Below are 22653 nucleotides of genomic sequence, written 5' to 3' on the forward strand. Positions count from 1 at the left end.
GCTGATGAGGGAGAATTGCTTGAATCCAGGCAGGTGAGGCTGCAGTAAGCCCTGATCATACCACTGCACTCTAGCCTAGGTGACAGAGCAAGATCCTGTCTCAAAAGAGAAAAAAAGAAAGAAAGCAGTTATGTCTAGAGATTGTGGCTGTGAAAGATGTCTTAGTCTGTTTTCTGCTACTATAACAGAACACCACAGGCTAGGTAATCTATAAAGAACAGAAGTTTATTTGGCTCATCGTTCTGGAGGCTGGGAAGTCCAAGAACATTGCATTAGCATCTGGTGAGGGTCTTCCCATGGTGGAAGGGCAGAAGGTGGAAGCTAGTGCACAAGACAGAGAGAGGATATCGGGCTAAACTCTTTCTTTTATCAGGAGCCCACTCCCATGAAAATTAACCCACTCCCTCAAGCCCTCATGACCTAGTCACCTCTTAAAGGCCCCACTACCCAATACCATCACATTGGTAAATAAATTTCAACATGAGTTTTGGAAGGGACATTCAAACCATAGCAAGGAATATTTATTTTCCATGTTATCTGTGTCTGTAACATTAGTGTTTTTAAGTAACAACCAGGTATTGCTTTTGTCATTAAAAAAAGAAAGATAGCTCTGACACATACTAAAATGTTTATGAATGAAAAAATGTGATTTCTGAGATTTGCTTCAAAATAATGTGGGAATAAAGAAATGAGTGTAGGTAGAGACTAGCCATAAATTGATAAACACTGAAGTTGGATGATGGGCAAATGGGAATTTGATATATTATTTCCTCTGCTTTTGTATATACTTGAAATTTTCCATAATAAAAATATTTTAAAAGGAAGTAATTTTATAGACACAGATATGAAGAGAGAGCCACACTGTAGTTTTTAAAAGAAACAGCATTGTATGTATGATATTGCATCTGTGTGCAATGATACTTGTGTCTCTCTCTATATTGGTATACATGTAAAAAAAAAAGACTTAGTTCAAGTAATAATAACAAGCAAGTTTACTGAACACTTGTGAGGGTATCAGGCAGCATCTTAAGTATAGAAATCTCTATTTTCTTTTTTTTCAAAATGATATATTTAAGGCTGAGCGCAGTGATGCGCACCTGTAATCCCAGCACTTTGGGAGGCCGAGGAGGGCAGATCACCTGAGGCCAGGAGTTCGAGACCAGCCTGGCCAACATGGTGAAACCCCGTCTCTACTAAAAATACAAAAATTGTAATCTCAGCTACTCAGGAGGCGGAGGCAACAAAAAGATATATTTAAAGCCACTACCTGCAGGTCTTTTGGAAATTTAAGTTTTTGCTAGCCCAGTAAATTTTTTGACATTCTTCCCATAAAAGGGTGGTGTCATGTGCCTTCCTTTTGAACCTGGATGGGCTTCTGTTTTGACCAACAGAGTACAACAGAAATCCCACCTACCTAATGTTCACACCCTGGCTCTACCACTTGCTAATTGTGACCTGTGGCACAATATGACCTTTACGGCTCTATACCTCCTTTTCCACCTCTGTATAATGAGGATAATCATAAATACCTCATAGGATCATTGTGAAGATTAGATGAGTTGTATGTGAAATTCACAGAACAATTTCTGGGCAGGTAGTAATTACTAAATAAATCTTTTCTTCATTAACAACAACAACAACAACAACAAGAAAGAGTATAGCAGAAATGATGCAGTGTGATTTCAGAGGCTGAGTCGTAAAATACCATGCAGCTGCTGCCTTGTTCACTGAAATACTTACTCACAGGTTCCTGAGCCACTATGTAAGGAGTTTAACTACCCTGTGGCTGTCATGCTAGGAGGAAGCCCAAGCCACACGGAGAAGCTATGTGTAGGTATTGTGATCTACAGTCCCCACTGTGCCCAACCTTTGAGTCATCCCAGCCCAGGCACCAGACAGGTGAGCACAGAAGTCTTCAGATGATTCTAGTCCTCAACCCTGGGAGTCTTCCTCAATAAGGCCCTAAACATCATGGAGCAGAAATAAATTATCCCTATGGTGCCCTGTGTGAATTCCTGATCCTCATAATCTGTGACCAGAATACAGTTGTTTTTGTTTTATATCACTAAGTCAGATGGTTTGTTATACACAATAGATAACTGGAACATACGGACTTTCAATTGTATGAGATAATTACATTTGGTTCTTATGGTTGAAATCACTGTAAAGAGCATTTTTGTCCTTACTCGCAGTTAATCACAGTCTTACACTGTAGTCTTGTTTACTTATATTTTTAAGTTAATCTATTCTTTTGGTTTAAATATGTCTTTAAGGAGAAAAAAGAGTATTTTTGTAACGCATAGTAGAAACAATTGCTATGAAAATTTTAAATCATGCTTTCCCATATATCATTTTAAATCATCTTGTGGCTCACCAGGGACATATCCCACCTTCTAGGAATTACTGCATTAAGCTTTCTTCTGATCACAAAGGTTTCTCCTAACTTTTACATTTGAGAATGTATGAGGTTCCCTTCCCCAGGTTGTCATTGCATGTTGCCCCAGGACACCCTCTCTCTGAAGGAGTTCGCAGACAGAGTTCCCGTGCAGTGCATGAGACAGTTAACATTCATGGGAGGTGACCCACATCAGGAACTGTGAAGGGTCTGAGATTTTACCCTACTTACAAACTCATCAGCTAGATTATTTCCTGAATGCTGGCAGAAGACATAGACTCCTGGGTCAGAGATAAGAAACTGTATTACTTACAGAGAAAGTAGATGCTGACTTCAGGCTTACCCTGATTCCCCAAACCTCTGAAGTCCTGAGGATGTGATGCAGGTGGGCCTGCTCACACAGAGTTGTGTCACAGGAGAGGAATACTGAGCTAAGAGAAACTATTGCTTTTACAGTGAGCAGTCACAAACCTTCCCTTTGAAGACATGACTTCATCCCTCAAGGTTGTTTTCTGCAAACACAACCCTGAGAAATGGCCTGAGTAAAGGGCAATCAGGGTCTTGCCTTCCTGGTGCACCAGCAAGAACATGCAGGGATGCTCAGAGCTCATGGATATCCCGATCACAAGCTGCATGGCCTAGGCCAGATAGGCTAGGGAGTGCTGTGAGGTCCCAGAGCTAAAACTCCACCACTCCCTTCCCAACTCCTGAAAGCATAGCATAATGTCAGCAAAGCAGAAGGAGGGATGTTAAGGGGTTCACCTTGACTCCACTTTAATCAGTAATAATAAAAGGCGAATGATTTGCTCACTTCAGCTTTACTTTTATTAGTACAATAATCCAAACGATGCTGAGCTTCTTCAGTTTGCACATTCAAGGGAAATCACACTAACAGCTTCTGTCAATTAGTTACTGCTCTAGCAATGCCACATAACAATCAACCTCAAACTCTCAGTGGCATATGACAGTAAGCACTGGGATTACAAGTTTCCTGATCAGCTGGTGGCTCTGCTTCACTCCATAAGTAGGCTGGGTGGCTCTGCTGCACGTGACTCCCATCCTCTTCCTGGAACCAGTGGGCTAACCAGAACATATTTAACTCTTGGAGATGATGGAATTGTAGGAGAGTTTGCCTAGCTGTGCAGGCATATTCCAAGCTCATTTGTTTTATGTCTGGTGCTATTCCATTGGCCAAAGCAAGTCTCAGGGCCAAGCCCGAAGTCAAGGGGTGAGGAAGTATACTCCATCCATGGAGGTGGAGGGGAAGGAGGAAACGTTCCTGACAACGATGGAATCTACTTTCTATCAAAAGCCCATGGTTTCTCTTCCTACTATTTTTCACTCGCATGGGGCCTCACACCCTTTTTGCAAAGTCTTCTTCGTGTTCTCCCTTCAACTCCAAAGTACCAAAGTACAATTAATTCTCAAATAATGAATATTCACATGATAGTTCCTCCCTCACCTCTCAGAATGGGGCTATAGAAAAATTTACACTCATTTTATTTCAATTAAGCAATATTTCTTCCCAAATAATAAAGAAGAAACAAAACATTGACTCGGAGTTTATGCCTCTTAGCTCCTACATCTGCCCGCTACACTAGGATCTGCTCCTGGAGGACTTGACAAAGACCCCAGCACTTTATGTTCAAGCTTTTACATGCGCACGAGAACTTCTGTTTGAGAGATATGTATTGTGCAATTCCTCATAAAGAATGACTATAGTTTTTATGGTTATATAAGGTTATAAAAGGTAATTAATTTAGGAACGATTCCGAAAGAAGAGCGTGAATAAGAGAACAATAGCTAAAACATCTATTTTCTTTGCTGCCTTGTAGAGTTGAAAAGAACATACTTAAGGAATGAGCTTTACAAAGAGGTTAAACAATACAGTACCTGACTAAGAATGTTGTTATGGTAATATCTTTTCCTTAAAGGTATTTTTTCTTTATCCCTGGTGTTGTGTGTGTGTGTGTGTGTGTGTGTAAGAGAGAGACAGAAAGAGAGAGAGAATATCAGGGGACATGTGTATCCCTAGGAGTCCCTGGAAGGTATTTGTTACATGCTTAAAGACCAGCTATTGGCAGCCATTTTTGTAGCCCCCCAGTCTTGTCCCAGCTGTGAACATCCACTGCCTGGGAGGCCACCTGAAATCTCCTCATCTTTTCCATTGCTGGGGATATCTGTATTCATCAAAGATTTTTTGTTGGAAGTGACAGAAACCGAACTGTAACTACTTTGAGCAAGAAAGGGTAATTCATTGTTTCACATACACAAACCATGGACAGCACCCGGTGGAGCCAATACCCCAGATGACTGGATTCAGACACCCAAAGGCCACCAGGCTGTTCTCTCTTTTCTCTGCTGCTCTTTGCCTGTTGGAGCCATTCTTACCAGTCACAGGCAGACTTCTCCACGGGGAGGGGAAGATGGACTCTGGCCACTCCAGAATCACAGCCTTCCAGCTTTAGCAACTCTTGGAGTTCAGAGAACATCTCTCCATTAGTTTTGGTGTAAAAAGTTCCAGGAGATATCTCTAATTGGCCTAGCTTGAATGACACGCTCATGGCACGGACCAATCACTATGGTTCCATTTCCACAACAAAGGTGGGACGCACCGACATGGCCACCAGGGACATCATTGGGAACTATGAAACCACTTTAATTTGTATGAGCTATGGAGATTCTTATGAGAACTATCAAGTTGGTAGCAAGCCCTCTCTCTTCATCTGTGCCTTAGGAGGCCCATCAATGGGAGGAAGGGGATCTGGAAGTTCCTCCCATACAGCAGGGTTTGGTCCCTGTGGGTCAGTAAGTGGGGCTTATAAAATTAAAAGCCAGGTGTGGTGGCTCACGCCTGTAATTTCAGCACTTTGGGAGGCCGAGGCGGGTGGATCACCTGAGGTCAGGAGTTCTAGACCAGCCTGGCCAACACGGCGGAAACCTGTCTCTACTAAAAATACAAAAATTAGCTGGGCGTGGTGGTGGGCACCTGTAATCCCAGCTACTCAGGAGGCTGAGGCACAAGAATCGCTTGAACCCAGGAGGCGGAGGCTGCAGTGAGCCGAGATCGCACCACTGCACTCTAGCCTGGGCAACAGTGAGAGTCTGTCTCAGAAAAAAAAAAAAAAAAGTTAAATGGGTGATGTTTTAGGGTTCTCTCAGTTGCACACCTTGGGACAAGAATGCAAGGCCAGGTAGTTTATTTGGGGGATGATCCCAGGGAACACCGTTAACAGATTAGGGAGTGACACAGGGAGGAAAAGGCTGCCAAGAAATCAGGTGTGATGAAGAAATTCCCCTCTGTGGACAACTGGAGCTCAATCCCACTGGGGACCTCCCGGACACAAGAACACTCAGGTTTATCCAGTACAAGGGGAGAGGATACTAACATCATCATCAATTCCCTGTCATTGGCTGAACAACATTTCTGTGAGTACAACATCTCCAGTACTTCTGTCTTGTCCAGTGAGTGGGCCAAGTGTGCCCTGGCATCAGGAGAAAGCTCTCAGCAGGGTCATAGCTGCAGTCATCACCTTAGGGACTCTGAGTGTTGAGGAGGCACAGGCAGGACCCCAGCAGATGACCCCGGATGGATTTTCAGTCCACGAAACCATGATATGCTGGGGTTTCTCCATCCCGCTGCTGAGTCAATGGGAAGGGCCTCTCAGGTCATATTCCCATAGGATGGCTCAAGGATCCATGTGTGGTCTGGCTGACACCCAGGCCTTCTTGAGGGAGGAAGAGGTGGGAGGAAACGAAGATGAACCTTTTACTCAAATAGTATGAAATACTCCTTCATGAGCCTTTTAAACTGGAAGAGACTCGGCTACAGTTAGTAATCAGATTTATGTTTTTCTCTCTAAGAAAATGAAGGAAGCACAAGAAAAAATTGACCACTTATAGAAAATAAAGGCTACTCAGGAGACTGAGGTGGGAGGATCACTTAGGCCCAGAGGGTTGAGGCTGCAGTGAGCTATGATTGTGCCACTGCACTCCAGCCTGGAAGACAGAGAAAGACTCTGTCCAAAAAAAAAAAAAAAAAAAAGAAAGAAAGAAAGAAAGAAAAAAGGAGAAAGAAAATAAGAACTATGCATTTTTTGCACCTTCCATAATCTCCATGATTATATTTGGGGGGCCCTTTATCTGCTTTGATCATTGCCATATTCATTGCATGTAGCACAGTACTAGGCACATAAAAGATGCAGACTAATGATTTATTGAATGAATGTATGCTTCCATATTTCCCTACGAGTGGCCATTTCCCTCCCGAGATCCAAGCCGTTGAATTTCAATTAGTGTATTGCAGCTTCTCCCAGAGCTGGGGGAGTGTTGGTATTTTTTCTCAGACAATTAAGTGCTTTAGTGGAGAGTCGGGGGTGAAGGGTTGTGCTCTGTGCCCCACACGAGCTGCGCTGGCCTCACAGAAAATGGTGAGACTGTCAGAGCACTGGCTGGTGACGGAAGGGCTGTATGTGCCCCTTCAATTTAATGGCCTTTTAATTAGTATCAATAATAGCTGGGCCGTCCCTCGCTGCACTGCATGTCTGTCTCCAAGGCTCATTATGACCAGGGATGAACAGCACTCCTCCAATCCCTTATGTCCTCATAGTCATGAGACCCTTTGCTATTACATAATGTTGCAATCCACCATCACACCTGGCCCACAGTAGTTGCTTAATGGGTGTTACTTCTTTTCCACTTTTGGCCCTCCTTTGAAGCCCCAGCAACTTTAGGCATTCGAAACTGGGCCTCTGCACCCCATTCCTTGTAGCCAGAGGGGTGGTAGGGCTGGAGATGAGAGTCCTCAGAGAGAAAGATGGTAGCCACACCCAAGGCCTCTCTGGTGTTCAGGCTCTGTGAGTTGGGATGGGGAGATAGATGGAACCGCTCTGTGTGCGTAGGGCAGGGCTGGGACCGGTAGGCATCCTTCTTTGATGTCGGCATAAACTCTAGCAGGAAATTTTGAAATAATCTGATCCAGGGTTTCAAACCAGCAGCCTGTAGGTTTGAATGGCTGTTTATTTTTTAAAAATTCAAATAAATTCATAACATTTCTTTTTCTTTTCCCTGCTTTTCCTGAGCTGTATATAACATTTTAATGTTGGGAAATTTAACATCATAACCTACATTTCCTGTCTCTCCAAGGAAAAGAAACAAATCAGGTGATCTAGCTACAATGGGCCCCGATTCCATATGGTAACAGTTGGTTGAAGCTGGGTAGTGACCGCCCCCGCTTAGAAGGGCATGGGCTCAGCCACCGTAGTCCTCACCTGACCTGCTTCCCTTGTCTGTGTTATCTACCTGGCCTCTGCGAGCATTTCAGTTTGCTTCCCCCCTCACTGAACAGCTGGAAAGATGGGCTCAGGGAGGGAAGTGGTTTGAGTTGTCTAAGCACATACAGACAAATAATGGCCAACTTAAAGCCAGGCTATTGTCAATCCCAGTCCAGTGCTCCTATACCTCACCACTCTCTGCTGCTCTTTATAAGTTTCTTCAACTAGACAGGAGCTACTGCAGTGGGAGGTGCGGTGAAAGGAGCTCACTCAGAAGTGTATGAATGTGACAGCTCTGTCTCTGCTTGACTGGGCTGTTGCTTCCCATCTTTGGGCCTCAGCTTCCCCATCTGTAAAATGGGGCTAATAACAATCCTAATCTCTTAGATGTGGGAGAGCTCTCAGAACTCTGTGGAGCTAGGAAATGTTATTGAACATGATTGTTGTTTCGATTGCTATGTAACCCCAAAACTTTGTGATTTAAAACAATAACCATTTTATTTGTTTATGATTGTTCAATCCAGGGTGGGCTCAGTTAGGTGGTTTTTCTAGTGATCTTGCTGGTGATCACTCTTACGGTTGCATTCAGCTGGCAGGTTGGCTGATGGCGGGGCTCAGCAGAGAAGCTGGGATGGCTGGCCTGACTCTCTTCACATAATTTTAGTCTCTTCCCACCATGTGTTCTCTCCAGCAGGGTAGCCAGACTTCTTACATAGTTGTTCAGGGCTCCCACAAATGAGCATTCCAAGAGGACAAACCCCAGTATGCAGGCATTTACCAAGCCTCTGCTTGCATCACAACTGCGATATACCATTGGCCAACATTTGTCACATTGAGGGAGAAGGCAGGACTCAACTCCAGAGATGGGGCTGAAACTCTGGACCAGATTGAAGACTAGGTGAACAGGGAAGCAGTGAAAGCACCTCTCCATGAGACATACCCAGCAACACCACGTCAGTTTACCACAGTGATGGCAACACCTAAAAGTTACCACCCCTTTCCATGGCAATGGCCTGGAAGTATCATCCTTTGTCCAGAAAATTCTGAATAACCTGCCCCTTAATTTGCATGTAATTAAAAGTGGGTATAAATATGACGACAGAATTACCCCTGAGCTGCTACTCTGGGCATGCTGCCTAGGGGGTAGTCCTGTTCCACAAGGAGCAGTACCTCTGCTGCTGTTGGACACTGCTGCTCCAATAAAAGTTGCCATCTAGGCTGGGCACAGTGGCTCACACCTGTAATCCCAGCACTTTGGGAGTCTGAGGTGGGTGAATCATGAAGTCAGGAGATCGAGACCATCCTGACCAACGTGGGGAAACCCCATCTCTACTAAAATTCAAAAATTAGCTGGGCATGGTGGTGTCTGCCTGTAATCCCAGCTACTCGGGAGGCTGAGGCAGAATCATTTGAACCAGGGAGTCGGAGGTTGCAGTGAGCAGAGATCGTGCCACTGCACTCCAGCCTGATGACAGAGTAAGACTCCGTCTCAAAAAAAAAAAAAAAATGTTGGCATCTACCACCACCTGTTTGCCCTTGAATTCTTTCCTGGATGAAGTGAAGAACCTTCTCGGGCTAAGCCCCAATTCTGGGGCTTACCTGCCCTGCATCAATATGGCAAAGTCCAGAATCAATGTGGGAGGGGACTACATAAGAGTATGAATGCCAGAAGCATGGTTCACTGGAAGCCATCAAATTAACAGTCTACTGCAATTATTTTCATGGGGTCTAACTAACGGCTAGAGTAGGGAGAGTGGGCCTTCACCTGCAAGGTGAAACTGGATAGTCCCCAGGTCTCCCTACTCAGAATGTTCTCTCCTGATGAACCAGCCCAGATTTGATGTTTACCTTTACTTTGCAGCTTTGGCCCAGCATGACCAGGCTTTCAGAGTTCACATTAGATCACAGCCCACAGTGCCAATCCAAATGACTGGTATGACTGACCATGGAGAAGGACTCCATGGTGGACAGGGGGACAGAATGTCCTGATTGGCCAGGCCTGGGTCAGGTGCCATCACCAGGGCCAGGGGGAATGAAGTCAGCCCCTTCTGAACTAATAGTAATAATATTAATACTAGATGACATTTGGGGGGTGTTTACTATGTGCCAGTCACTCTTTTAAACATTTTATCTGAATTAACTCATATAACCCAAAAACTCCATGAGGTAGATACTATTCTCCACATTTCTTATATGAGGCACAGAGAGGTTAGGAATTTTTCCAGGTTCACATAGCTGGTCAATGGCAGAGCCAATATTCAAACCTAGGCAGTCAGACTTTAGTTTCCATACTCTTTATGGCCTGGACCAAGAATAGGAGTAGAGGCTCACAGAAAAATCAGATGCTGGCCAGGCACAATGGCTCATGCCTGTAATCCAAGCACTTACAGGGAGTCTGGGACGGGCAGATTGCTCGAGCTTAGGAGTTAGGGACCAGCCTGAGGAACATGGCAAAACCCTGTCTCTACAAAAAAATACAAAAATTAGCTGGGCATGGTGGCACGACCTGTGGTCCCAGCTACTCTGGAGGCTGAGGTGGGAGGATCACCTGAGCCTGGGAAGTTGAGGCTGCAGTGAGCCATGATTGCAGCACTGCACTCCATACTGGGTGACAGAGGAAGACCTTGTCTCAAAAAAAAAATTTTTTTAAGTCAGATGCTGTTAAGAATATTGGGAGATGATACAGCATAGACAAAAATGGTATCTATACCTTGCAACTGCCCACTAATAACCATAAAGACATGATGTGCCATGTAAAGCATGATCTAAGGAAAACCTTCATGTTCTTTATGCAGAAACTTGGGCTAGATGTGGTGGCTCATGCCTGTAATCCCAGCACTTTGGGAGGCTGAGGTGGGAAGACCTCTTGAGCCCAGGAGTTCAAGACCAGCCTTTGCAACATAAGGAGACCCTGTCTTTACAAAAACTTTTTTTAAAAATTAGCTGGGCATGGTGGTACATGCCTATAGTCCCAGCCACTCGGAAGGCTGAGGCAGAAGGACTGCTTAGCTCAGGAGTTCAATGCTGCAGTGAGCTATGACCGCACCACAGCACTCCAGCTTGGGTGACAGAGAGAGACTCTGTCTCAGAAAACAAACAAAAACAAACAAAAAAATTGGGTAATTGGGTATCTTCCTCTCTACTCCAGATGGGATTCTTTTAGCCTTAGGTTCCCCTTATTGGATCCAAAGTTGAGAAGCTCTTGGGTCACTTAGTCAAGAATTCCTGAGGTATAGCAAATAAGAACATCTGGGACCACATGTTACCAACATCTGGTCACAAACTCTTAAAATAATATGGAGAAGTAGATTTGGAGAAACAGATGAAGAACACGAGGGGGAATGTGCTGGGTGACACCCACAGAAATGCACCTGGGGAATCATGATTGAAGCAAGGATGATTGAAAAGTCTCTGCAAGTATGTGTGACACTTCTGAGTATTGGGGGTGGGGTGGGGGTGGAAGGCCTCATGTATCTGTTGTTTCCTGGGCACTCAATCCTTTTTGAACAAGATGCTCTAGAGATGGTTATTCTCATTAGAACAAATGTTACTGACCCAATGTCTTCCTCGTTTATATTTCTTCTAATGTGCTTCTGCTTGAGCAAGTGAGCCCTTAATGTCCATTTCAATTAACATCACTGCATCTGATCTCAGTGGTGTCACTCATGGATGCAATGAGGGGCGGAGAAAGGTCACTGGGAAGTGGGGAGAGGTGTCCCCTCTTGTTTGAAGGCTTGAAGTCACTGGTGAGGGAGGTATTGGGAGGGAAGGTGTGGAATGATTTGCTCCCTACTTAATAAAGACCATACTTTAAAGATGTCAGCCTGTCTTTTGTTTGATAAAACACTAATGTGAAGACCTAGTTGCAAGGCAGAAAGCAGGGACAAGGGCTCTGAGGGCTAAGCCAGTGAGGAACGGGAGACACACAAACTTGCATTGACTTATGAGAGCTTCCTCCATAACCTTGAGCTCCCTAGCCGTCAGTCACAGTGGGTGGGAACTGTATGCTCCAAATCTGCTATCCAGTATCCTGGGGATTCCCAGGGATGGCTCAAAGCTGGTGGTCTGACACCAACACTTCTGTGTGTGGCCTGATCTCAGCATGGAAATGGGATGGACCAGAGTTTGGGGTGGGTGTAGCAGAGCAAGCCTCAGGGAGAGGTAGACAGTCACAACCTGCCAACCCTTCCTTGCTCTTGTTTTCCATCCTTCCTTCCCTTCCTTCCTTCCTAACAAGGGAATTTGTTCCCTTTGTGCCCTTCCAGAGGGAATTTGTTCAGGAAAGAGAAAATATGGATTTATGTTCTCCAAGACACAATCCTCAGGGATGATTCTCTCTCCTTTGAGAAGTCAGAGCATTTGTTTTTTCATCATCTTTGCCATCAATAACAATCATTAGAAGAGCTTACTATTTCTTGAGCACCTTCTGTGTATCAGGGGACATTACATATATTATTTCTAGCCTTCACAGCAACCCTCAAGGTAAATGTAATTTATGCCCACTTTACAGAGGAGGAAATTGGGGCTTAGAGTGCTTGAGGAGCTTGTCCAGTAAGTGGATTGAACTGGGCCCGGTTCATTCGATTTCTGGCTCCAATGTCATCAATTACTTGCAATATATACTTGCAAGGGCCTGGCTCCTGGCTAAGACCTGCTAATGGATGCATCTGAAATAAGAAATGTCTTCTATTCAAGTTCCAGACGTCCACATCAACAAGCATCAAACACAGAGTTTAACCTGCATCGTACTGGCAGTCAAGATGCAAGGGCTGTAGTCCTGGTTCTGCAACTCTTTTGATGGGCAGCTTTCAGTGTATATGTGTGAACTCCCCTCTCCAGTAGAACTCCCCTCTCCAGTTGTCATTTCTCCATCTGTAAAATGGGCAAGTTTGACTAAATATCTCCAAGAGTCAGCTCAGTTCAATCCAATCTGACAGCACCCATGGGGCTTTCCTGTGTGACTGTGCCAGAAGGAAATAAAGATGGACAAGGCAGACCTCCATTCTCTAGGTGAGCTAAATGTGTGCTCTAATAGTTATACATAAAGAGCAACAAAGCTTGGAGAGCACGGCATCTCATTTAGACTTGGCCAGTGGCAATGTGTGTGGCACAGGAGATGAGGCAGGCTTCAGGGTGGAGGCGCCATTGGCAGTTGGGCTTGAAAAGGAAATAGAACATGTGGAGGTGGAGACAGGAGGAAGCTTTTCCCAGCCAACACCACATGGAGCAGAAGAACCACCTGGTCATTCTATAAAATTGTGAGAAGTAACAAATCATTGTTGTTTTAAGTCACTACATTTTCGGGATGATTTCTTACGTAGTAATAGATGACAGACCCCAAAGGTGGGTGTGTGATTATAGGCTTTATCCTATAAAGGTCAGAGATTGCTCATTTTTAGACCACAGCCTACAGTAATTGGCCTGCAGACATAATTCATTTGGCTTGCACAGGGTTTTTAAAAATAGTTGAGCCAACATTTAGAAATTGGGAGATTTTATATGAAAATCCAGATTTGGGGGCTCTCTTGAAGAATCCTACATCTCAGCACCTGCATTCTAGGAACAGTATGCAACACACATCCTCCAGTTCATGACAGTGCTCTCCACTCCCTATTGTCTCATGCCTAACCTTCTTTCTAGCCCCTGTAGACACCTGAGGGTTTGCTGTTGTTGTTATTTGTTTTGAGAAGGGTCTCACTCTGTTGCCTAGGCTGGATGCAGTGGTGTGAGCATGTCTCACTGTAGCCTTGGCCTCCTGGGCTCAAGTGATCCTCTGGCCTCAGCCTCCCAAGTAGCTGGAAGTACAGGCACATGCTACCATGCCAGCTAATTAAAATTTTTTTTTTTGTAGAGACAGGGTCTCACTATGTTGCCCAAGCTGGTCTCAAACTCCTGGGTTCAAGCAATCCTCCTGCCTCAGCCTCCCAGAATTCTGGGATTAAAGGAATGAGCCACTGTGCCCGGCATGACATTTGAGTTTTTGATCCATGCTGATGACATGGCAATGGGAGGCTATTGAAGGTTGTTTTTTGTTTTTCTGTTTTTGAGGCGGAGTCTCTCTCTGTGTCTCAGGCTGGAGTGCAGTGGCATGATCTCGGCTCACTGCAACCTCCACCTCCCAGGTTCAAGCGATTACCCCACCTCAGCCTCCTGAGTAGCTGGGATTACAGGTGCCTGCCACCACGCCCGGTTAATTTTTATATTTTTAGTAGAGATGGGGTTTCACCATGTTGCCCAGGCCGGTCTTGAACTCCTGACCTCAAGTAATCCCCCCCACCTCGGTCTCCCAAAGTACTGGGATTACAGGCGTGAGTTACCGCGCCCAGCCCATTGAAGGGTTTTGAGCAGAGAAGGAATGATGAGAGTTGGGCAGTAAGTAATGTATTGGTTGGGGGTAACTCTGGGGCAGGTGTAGTGAAAATCTATTATTCAATCTGCCCCAGAGCATGAACTCCATCTTTTGGGAAATGCATCTTTCTCTGACCATATGGTTCCGATGGGGCTGCCATCTCCCTGTACGTCCCACTTCCTTATTCACAGTATTGGTTAGAGAATGGCACCTGGCTTAAGTTGGGCCAGTCACAGCACCTGGTTTTCCACCCATAGATGATTGGTCTAGGGACGGGGACTTACCTATGTTGGACCAATCAAAGTTTTTCCCTAAAATTTTGTCCTTCAGACCAGAAGCAGAAATCCTCAGTCTCTCTCCGGTGGAACGGGTGAGAGTTGTGAGTGGTGAGCGCTGCTGCAGCCAGGTGCCTAGCCTTGAGGAGAAAAGCTCGCATACAGAGAGAAGAGATAAAGGACTGGGAGGAGAGTCCTGGCAACATTCAAGCCTCTGCGCTCACCACTTCAGTGCATTTTCTGAGCCTGGTTCTCCAGCCTTCCCATCAGTTCTGGGAGCTCCCCATTCCTTCCTGATAAATTCCTTTGCTGCATCTGTTAGTCTGAGTTTATTTATGTTTCGTAATTTGCAACCGAGAACACTGGTGATAACCGGGGGCTTTGAGGCAATTCCAGGAGGGCTACTTCTCACCCCCGTCAGGGAGGAGCCAAGACAGGGTTTATCCTCAAATGCAGATCCCCTGAGGTCAGGAGTTAGAGCCCAGCTTGGCCAACATGATGAAACCCCGTATCCACTGAAAATACAAAAATTAGCCGGGCATGGTGGTACACGCCTGTAATCCCAGCTACTTGGGAGGCTGAGGTACAAGAATCGCTTTGAACCCAGGAGGCAGAGGTTGCAGAGAGCCGAGATCGTGCCACTGCACTCCAGCCTAGGCGACAGAGCTAGACTCCGCCTCAAAAAACACACAAACAATGAACAGACAAATAAATGACAGAACAAGAAGACAAACTAGAGAACATCTTGAGACAAGGTGTTCAGGGAAGAGTTCTTTTGAGAAGGTGATATTAAAGCGAGTTTGGGGAAGAACGTCCCAGGCCTTGCGCTCAGGGTCGTCAACTCTTTGATTTCTCTTCCTTTTGAAGCAGGGCAGGGAGGTCATCAAACAACAGAAGGACAATTATAACTGCTGGTATGGCAAAGCCAGGACTCTGAATTCAAACTCTGCTCCATTCTCAGGAATCCCGTCTGTTAAGCAGGTTCTGGGGAAGCGATGTGAGTCATGAAATCACAGGTCGGAGGAGGCATCGAGAATATGGTCAGTTCTCAACTTTCAGGGAAATCCATAGCTGAGGAATGAAGGACAACGGGCTTCTCGTGCTCTCACTAGGAAGACTGGTTCACCGGAGGCTGGAACACTGAAAGTGAGAAATCCCGACAGGAGAAATGTGTAGGAGAGAGGACTAGCACCTGGATCAAGTTATAAAACATCTCCTGCATCTTTTTCGGAGATCACCCTTAGCGCGGCCTCTCCGCCCAGTCCCAGATTAGGCAGCGAAGAGCGACCCTCACCTTGTCTAGGTGGCACGTTCCTTAAAAGCGAAAGGACCAGGAGTTTCTTCCTGCCTCGTCTCTTCCGGATCCCTCCTGCACCGCCCACAGCCTGCAGATTTGAGCGCCATCTCCAGGCCCCGCCCACCTCAAGCACCACCCCTCAGTCCTTCCTTGGGGCACGCCTCCTTCCGGCACCCGCCCAGAGTAGCCACCCCCGGGGCCCCTCCTCCCCTCCCTGCTTCCGGGCCCGCCTCCTTCAGGCCCGCTTCCATCTTCCTCCCACTCTAAGCTTCTCTTCAGCCCCGCCTCCCTCCACCCGTGGCTCCGCCCTCTGGGCGATTCTCCATTTAGCCCCGCCCACAGCATCTCCTTTCAAGCGCTGTCCTGGTTCCCGGCTCTCCATCTCCTGCACGGCCTTCCCCACTGGTCCGGCGACCCTCTTCCCAGGGCCTCATCACCATCTTAGCTCCGCCCCTACTTCGGCTCCAAACCTGTGCAAGCTGCCCTCTTCCCGCCCCAGCCCCGCCTCCCCAAGCCGCGTCTCAGTCCCTCCTCCCTTTCAGGCCCCACCCTGGCCCCGCCTTCCTCCCGTCCCCGCCGAAGCTCTGGACCTTTCCAAAGCCAGGCTGAGAGGGTGGGGAGAGCCCATGCGCCTGGGAAGCCGGGCTGTTTCTGGGCGGGGCTGCAGACTCCTCGTGCTCGTGTCACCGTGTCCTTCCCAGGAGACAGAGAAGGAGGAGAGCCCGGAACCAGGGCCGGAGCGGCGGGCGGAGCCGAGCTGCGGGGAGCCGCTCCGGGTGCCCCCACCCCCGCGCGCCTCAGTGGTGCCGGCCGAGGGCAGGGCTCGCGGTTGCGGGGCTCGCGCCGCTGTCAGTGCGGCGGGGCGCGCGAGCGGCGCCAGCTCGGGGCAGCGGAACCCAGAGAAGCTGAGGGGGCGGTAGCGGCGGCGACGGCGACGACGACGACTCCCGCGCGTGTGCCCAGCCTCTTCCCGCCGCAGCCGCCCTTTTCCTCCCTCCCTTACGTCCCCGAGTGCGGCAGTACCGCCTCCTTCCCAGCCGCGCGGCTTCCTCCAGACCTCTCGGCGCGGGTGAGTGGGGACTGCGGGCGTCTCCTTAGGGGTGCGGGGAGGGTGTGTGCTTTGTGCCTTTCCGTTCACTCACTTCTTCCGGCAGGCCGCTGCCTATTTTTAGAAACTTATTTCTGCCCTTCGGGGAGTCCCGGGAGCCCGAGTAACTCTAGGCCCCCTCCGCCGCTCCTTTCTCCCACTCGGACCCGCCGCCCCGGGTCCCCGGCCCCAGCCCTCCGCGCCCGGTCCTGCTCCCGGCGTTCCCTGTCTGCTCTCTCCGCGGGCCAAGTCTGGGCCAGTAGTTGGCTGGGTGGGCCCGCGCCCGCTCGGAAGTTGGAGTCTTTTGTGCTCGTGCCCCGCCCCGCCCGGCGAGGGGCGGAGGGAGGGGAACGGAGGCTGCTCCGGGGAGGCCGCAGGCGGGCCCGGCCGCGGCTGCTTCCGGCTCTCCTAACCCGGACTGGGTCTACGGGCTCCCGGAGGCGCGCAGAGCTTGTCCTGCCTCGGCTCCCGCCTCTTCTGGGCTCTTTGCACGCCTTGGGCTCGGAGAGAAACAACAACGGGCCCTCGAACTGGGGCCGTATCCGCGTTTCACTCAGCCTCCTTGGCGGCCGAGTCTTAGTTTGCCTCTCGGTGACATGGGGGGAAAGAAGGAAACTCGCTTTGCGGGGTGTTCGTGGATTCAGGGAGGGAACTAATATGTGAAAGAAGTGTTTAACACCGACAGGGAACATTTAATGAGACTTCACCCAGGAACTTCCCAAGCCTTATTTCATTTAATGTTCACAACGGCCTTCTGGTTTATCCTCATTTACAAAAGCAGAAATTAAGGCGCAGAGGGGTCAAGTAATTTTCTCCAAGTCACAGTAGCCACAGAAGTGCAAAGGAGTGGTGCCAGTACCTATTATTTATTAATATTTCCTGGTGTGAGCATGTATCATCTCTTAGTGCAGAGGGTATTTTTACCTAGCCTTGGGTCACACCATTTAATTAGGGGCATAACTCTGGGTTTTCCCTGACTTCTGGGCCGTTGTCCACTATACTGTGGATGAAATCCCATTCTGGGGTTACCATAGTTCTAAAGGGAAAGGTTTGGATGAATTCCTTGCTAGTGTTGCGGCAGTTAGAAGTTGATGGATGCAGACTCCAGGTCTCAGACACAACTCAAATTCCCTGGGGTTTTGGCTCAAGGAAGCTTTGAGACTGTAAACGGTGGGATCCACCCTTTAGTTTGTGTGTGGTGTGTTCCTCCTCCCAGACCTTGCAGGTTCTCTGTGTTTAGATTTATCGATCCTAGTTTGATGGGGGTTAGGGGGAGTAGCTCAAGTCATCTGCCTTCAAACAAATATTACTCCTATTTTCAGATAAGGCCCAGAGTGGTTAAAGTGAACTAAAATTAACTTTGGCAAATGTTCCAGTTTTTCAATGTGATCCGGTTGGAGGGAGTGTCTAAAAATCAGGCAAGGGAGTTTCTGGGCCAGGTCTTGAGGAGTCTCTTGATGTTCACATTAGTTCTTTGGAGTCTGGTACGTCTGTGGTGCCTGGCCAGGATTCTGGATTTACGAGTCCTATGTGGGAGCTGAAAGGGGTCTTACCATCTGGTCCAACTTTTTCATATCTGCCTTTCCCCGCTTCCCTGTTAACTGAACCTTGGAAAGGGGAAGTAAGTTGTCTGAATTCAGACTGCCTTAGTGTCAGAGTGAGAACTAAAATTTCCAGTCTTCTTCCTCCTAATCCAGTAATATTTTTATTTCTCCCATACCTTGCCACTTCTTAAAAGGGCACGAAACCACTTATTCAGGTCTTAAGGTCAGGAATCCTGAGTAATTGGAAATCCCAAGGAAGTTTTATAGTCCCCACCCCTTTCTGTGCCTTATGGTTAGTATTAAGAGGAGGCCAGGTTTAAGCACAGGTGTACTAGTTCTCGTAAGTCACCACTTCGGTTTTATGTGTTTATGGCTTATATACTCTTCCATAACCATTATCTGATTTAATTTCTAATCCATTTCTGTGAGGTAGTTTGCAGAGCTTGGTTTATGTCTCTTTTTTTACTGTGAGGGAATGGAGACACAGCATAGCACTTGCCTTAGATGACAGAATGAGTAAGTAGTGAGGACAAGACACCTCTCTGGAGCAGAGGATTTGATTTGACATCATAAACTGAGCCACTCATTGTGGCTCTCTGAGCCTCAGTTTCCTTATCTGTAAACTCATAGGGTTGTTGTGGGGATTGTTAAGAAAATGGCTATGAAAGTGCTTTATAGTGGTAGTAATAATAGCTAAATTTATTAAGTACTTAACGTGTACCACCAGTCAATGGACTGAGGACTTTATGGACTATATTACTAATTCTTAGAGCAACCTATGAATTAAGTACTATTATTATCCCTGTTTTATAGAAGAAACAGGCTTAGAGAGGTTACATTACCTGCCTCAGGGTCATGTAACTGGTAAGTGGCCATGGCAGTATTCAGACTGCAGACAGTATAACCTTAAAGCTGGCATGCTTTTTTTAAAAAAAAAATTGTGGTAAAATATATATAACATAAAATTTACCATTTAACCGTTTCAAAGTGTACATTTATGTGACATTAAATACATTCGCATGGTTATGCAACCATCATCACTGTCCATTATCTTCCCCAACTGAAATTCTGTACCCATTAAACTAACTCCCCCTTCCCTCCTCCCTCCAGCCCCTGAAAACTATCGTTCTACTTTCTGTGAATTTGACTACTCTAGGAACCTCATGTAAGTGGAATCATGCAATATTTGTCCTTTTGTGCCTGCAAAGCTGGCACACTTAGTGTCTTCTTTAGTCTCAGAGTGCATTGTAAATGCAAAATTATTAGTCCTCACCTGCAGCAGAGATGTGGCATGCAGCTCCAGGGCAGGAACCCAGGCCTCTCTGAGTAAGACCTACTTTTCTCCCCCTTAGGTTGATGTTCTGTATCACTGAAGCCTGTTTTGAATCTCTGCTGGCCCCCCAGTATCTGCAGAAGAGACCTTATACCCTGTTTTTTTTGGAGACGGAGTCTCACTCCGTCGCCCAGGCTGGATTGCGGTGGCACGATCTTGGCTCCCTGCAACCTCAACCTCCTGGGTTCAAGGGATCTCTTGCCTCAGCCTCCCGAGTAGCTGGGACTACAGGCATGCACCATCACGCCTGGGTAATTTTTGTATTTTTAGTACAGATAGGGTTTCACCACGTTGGCCAGGCTGGCTTCGAACTCCTGAACCTCAGGTGATCCTCCTGTCTTGGCCTTCCAAAGTGCTGGGATTACAGGCATGAGCCACCACGCCAGGCTATTACACCCTTAAAATAGAACCGAGATAACTCCCCACCCTCACCTTGTTTGCACCTGCCCTTCTGACAGTCCAGGGTTTGGGGATATTGGGCTGCAGTTATCAGGAATAACAGTGCAGTGACAGCAGCTTGGATCAAAACTACTCAGAATGATTAAGTAGATCACCTTTATGAAATGTTCCCTCTTTCTTCCCCCTTTTTCCATAGAGGCACACAGGAGGGATTAGCTTTTGGGTTCTTGGAGGATGTTTATGGATACTCACTGCTTGCAGTTGGTTAAGATGGAGTTAGATGCTGCATATAGCCTTTCAAAATGCCCTTTGACCGTTTTCTGTGTTGGTCCATTTAGGGGAGTGGGCTCTTCATGTTTATGAAGATGGTTGGAATATTGTCCTGATAACAACTGGGGGTTGGGAGAGGCAGTGTCTCAGAGATGGTTAATAGGGTAACAAACACATGATCATGTGTCTGGTCATGTCACACTCTCCTTAAAAATCTGATGGCCCCAACATTGCCTGCATATTAAAGTTCAAACAAATATGACCCATGAGGTCAGTGTGTTGAATTTATTGAATAGAATCTTGTAGTTGAGGGACCTTACAGTCATTTAGACCAGCCACCTGGCTGACATTTGAGTTGGTTACTTGTTGAGATTGTCTTTCTTTGGATACCTCATTTTTGGAAAGTTTTTCATTCACTGAAGAATTAATGAGCCTCTGTTAGACCTGGTGCTACGCTTAGGGATTTGGGTTTGTATAGCGTAGTGGGAAAGATAGGCAAGGAAACAGGCAGTGTGAGAAGTGTTGTCACAGGGACAGACACCAGGAGAGCACAGAAAAATGATGCCTAACCCAGCATTGGAAGGTCAGGGAAGGCTTTTTAGGAGGAGAAGTTGGTTAAGCCTAGCCCTCAAGAGAACAGACATAAGCCAGGAAAAGAAGAGATCTGGGGAGTCAGGGAAGAGGCAGAGATAAGACTGTTCTAGGTAGAAGGAACAGTAAGTTCAGAAATGGTGATAATAGGTTAAGACCATCCCGAAAGTACGTACTGTTACTATTCCCATTCTGTAGTTGAAGGAAACGGGCCAAGAGAGCTAAACAAATTTCTCAGGATTCTTGGGTGGAGCATAATGCTTGAGGTGGGTGGATATGGCCAGACAGGAGACTTTCAAGGTAGGCAGAGCAGAGGCCAAGTCAGGAAAGGGCCTTCTTGCCTGTGTTGAGGAGTTTGGACTTCATCCGGAGGTGAGGGGGCCATGATTCAATGTGCATTTTGGAAGGATATCTCTGGCTGCCTGTTCAGGAGCGGACTGGAGAGCTAGAACACTGTGGGCAGAGAGACCAGTTAGGAGGTTGGCAAGAGGTGATGGTGTTTCAAATGAAGGTTGTGGGAGAGCGTGTGCAAGAGTGTGTGCAGAAAAAAGATGGAATTGCTGGGCGTGGTGGCTCACGTTTGTAGTCCTAGCACTTTGGGAGGCTGAGGTGGGTGGATCACCTGAGGTCAGGAGTTTGAGACTAGCCTGGCCAACGTGGTGAAACCCCGTCTCTACTAAAAATAAAAAAAAAATTAGTCGGGTGTGGTGGCAGGCACCTGTAATCCCAGCTATGTGGGAGGCTAAGGCAGGAGAATCACTTGAACCTGGGAGGTGGAGGTTGCAGTGAGCTGAGATCGAACCACTGCACTCCAGCCTGGGTGTGAGACTCCATCTCAAAAAAAAAAAAAAAAAAGGAAAGAAAAAAGGTGGAATTGAGTGATGAGACAAAGATTATTGGTGTGGAGGGTAAGGAAGGAATCGGGATGACATCTGGTTTCTACCTGGTGCAGTTTTGTAAATGGGTGCTGTTTATTGAGGTGAGGACACAGGAGAAGAAGGAGCACGTAAGGGAGGGGGTAGGGTTTCTTATGCAGGGTCTCCTTACATATGCTTTCACTTACCTCTGGTTATGGATTCTAGTTCTTTGTGTCAGGTCTGAAAGGGAGAGAGTGAGAGTATGGCACAACTGGTCATGTTCCTGGCTAAACTGGATGATGCAAACATTAGTTTAGGAAGAGAGGAGATATTCAATCCTAGACATCCGGGTGTGGCACAGCCTGGAAACTGCTTACGTTAAGCCAAGAAAAGTTTACATTTTATCCAGGCTACATCCTTTGGCACTGGTCTTTTCGTGTACTAGTGTATTCCTAAGTCCCTCTCTAAGCCGAAGCCACTTCTCTGCTTACTCTCTGCTAGGCACTGGGAAAACAAAGATAAGTAAAACGTATCCTAAGGAGCTCATGATCCAGAAGGGCAGAAGTCTCAGTAGCTTGGATACAGCGGTGGCCTGGGGAGAGGGTGGATGGGGCAGGGCAGGGTAGGACAGGATGGAGAGGGACCCGGAAGGGTTTCTATTAGGGATAGGAGTCAGGAGACCCCACTGTGTGCTCCAGTCTTTTTCTCGGGTGGCACGTGTCTAGGTTTATTCATCTGAATAATGACTAGATGACCCATAAGGTCCCTTCTAGCAATTACATTTTATGATTCTAGGTGGTGGTTTAGATAATATATCTCTAGGAGAGGTATTTCTTTCTTCTTCTCCCCCTTCTTAGTTTGGCATTGGTGAGGGGATATAGTAGGGGTGGAGATAGCAAGGTTTTCACTTGAGTGTCTTGGTCTTATTCAATTTTGGCTTCATGTCTATATAGCTGGAAGGGAGAAAATGACAGCCGTAATGT

General features: G+C 46.9%; 1 protein-coding gene and 1 long non-coding RNA gene across 9 annotated transcripts in view, besides 9 other annotated features; one reads left to right on the forward strand and one right to left on the reverse strand.

Moving 5' to 3' along the window:
* Positions 1-15014: 15014 nt before the first annotated feature.
* RALY-AS1 (RALY antisense RNA 1) lies at positions 15015-16894 on the reverse strand. Of its 2 annotated transcripts, NR_109885.1 has the most exons (3): positions 16732-16894; positions 15587-15677; positions 15015-15432 (listed from the first exon to the last, which is right to left on the reverse strand). It is a non-coding gene; the product is annotated as an RALY antisense RNA 1 (long non-coding RNA). The 2 variants fall into 2 exon arrangements; NR_109886.1 differs by lacking the exon at positions 15587-15677.
* Positions 15339-15418: an enhancer, noted in NCBI's record as "active region_17753". NCBI's record gives its function as "activates an Ori minimal core promoter by ATAC-STARR-seq in GM12878 lymphoblastoid cells {active_cell/tissue: GM12878}" and the evidence as "EXISTENCE:reporter gene assay evidence [ECO:0000049][PMID:35858748]".
* Positions 15339-15908: a biological region, named in NCBI's record as "H3K27ac hESC enhancer GRCh37_chr20:32580634-32581160".
* Positions 15355-15881: an enhancer, noted in NCBI's record as "H3K27ac hESC enhancer chr20:32580634-32581160 (GRCh37/hg19 assembly coordinates)". NCBI's record gives its function as "activates a minimal SCP1, AML or CMV promoter by ChIP-STARR-seq in naive H9 embryonic stem cells {active_cell/tissue: H9 hESC(naive)}" and the evidence as "EXISTENCE:reporter gene assay evidence [ECO:0000049][PMID:30033119]".
* Positions 15659-15908: a silencer, noted in NCBI's record as "silent region_12827". NCBI's record gives its function as "represses an Ori minimal core promoter by ATAC-STARR-seq in GM12878 lymphoblastoid cells {active_cell/tissue: GM12878}" and the evidence as "EXISTENCE:reporter gene assay evidence [ECO:0000049][PMID:35858748]".
* Positions 16079-16188: a silencer, noted in NCBI's record as "silent region_12828". NCBI's record gives its function as "represses an Ori minimal core promoter by ATAC-STARR-seq in GM12878 lymphoblastoid cells {active_cell/tissue: GM12878}" and the evidence as "EXISTENCE:reporter gene assay evidence [ECO:0000049][PMID:35858748]".
* Positions 16369-16498: a silencer, noted in NCBI's record as "silent region_12829". NCBI's record gives its function as "represses an Ori minimal core promoter by ATAC-STARR-seq in GM12878 lymphoblastoid cells {active_cell/tissue: GM12878}" and the evidence as "EXISTENCE:reporter gene assay evidence [ECO:0000049][PMID:35858748]".
* Positions 16438-22653, forward strand: part of RALY (RALY heterogeneous nuclear ribonucleoprotein) — a 90974-nt gene continuing 84758 nt past the window's right edge. For all 7 annotated transcript variants that reach the window (XM_011528695.4, NM_016732.3, NM_007367.4 and 4 more), the window contains exon 1: positions 16438-16658. The gene's annotated coding sequence lies outside the window, so the exon portion shown is untranslated. The remainder of the gene's footprint in view (positions 16659-22653) is intronic.
* Positions 16559-16608: a silencer, noted in NCBI's record as "silent region_12830". NCBI's record gives its function as "represses an Ori minimal core promoter by ATAC-STARR-seq in GM12878 lymphoblastoid cells {active_cell/tissue: GM12878}" and the evidence as "EXISTENCE:reporter gene assay evidence [ECO:0000049][PMID:35858748]".
* Positions 16829-17158: a silencer, noted in NCBI's record as "silent region_12831". NCBI's record gives its function as "represses an Ori minimal core promoter by ATAC-STARR-seq in GM12878 lymphoblastoid cells {active_cell/tissue: GM12878}" and the evidence as "EXISTENCE:reporter gene assay evidence [ECO:0000049][PMID:35858748]".
* Positions 21318-21818: an enhancer, noted in NCBI's record as "H3K4me1 hESC enhancer chr20:32586597-32587097 (GRCh37/hg19 assembly coordinates)". NCBI's record gives its function as "activates a minimal SCP1, AML or CMV promoter by ChIP-STARR-seq in naive H9 embryonic stem cells {active_cell/tissue: H9 hESC(naive)}" and the evidence as "EXISTENCE:reporter gene assay evidence [ECO:0000049][PMID:30033119]".

Source organism: Homo sapiens, chromosome 20, assembly GCF_000001405.40.
Source record: "Homo sapiens chromosome 20, GRCh38.p14 Primary Assembly".
NCBI lineage: Eukaryota > Metazoa > Chordata > Mammalia > Primates > Hominidae > Homo > Homo sapiens.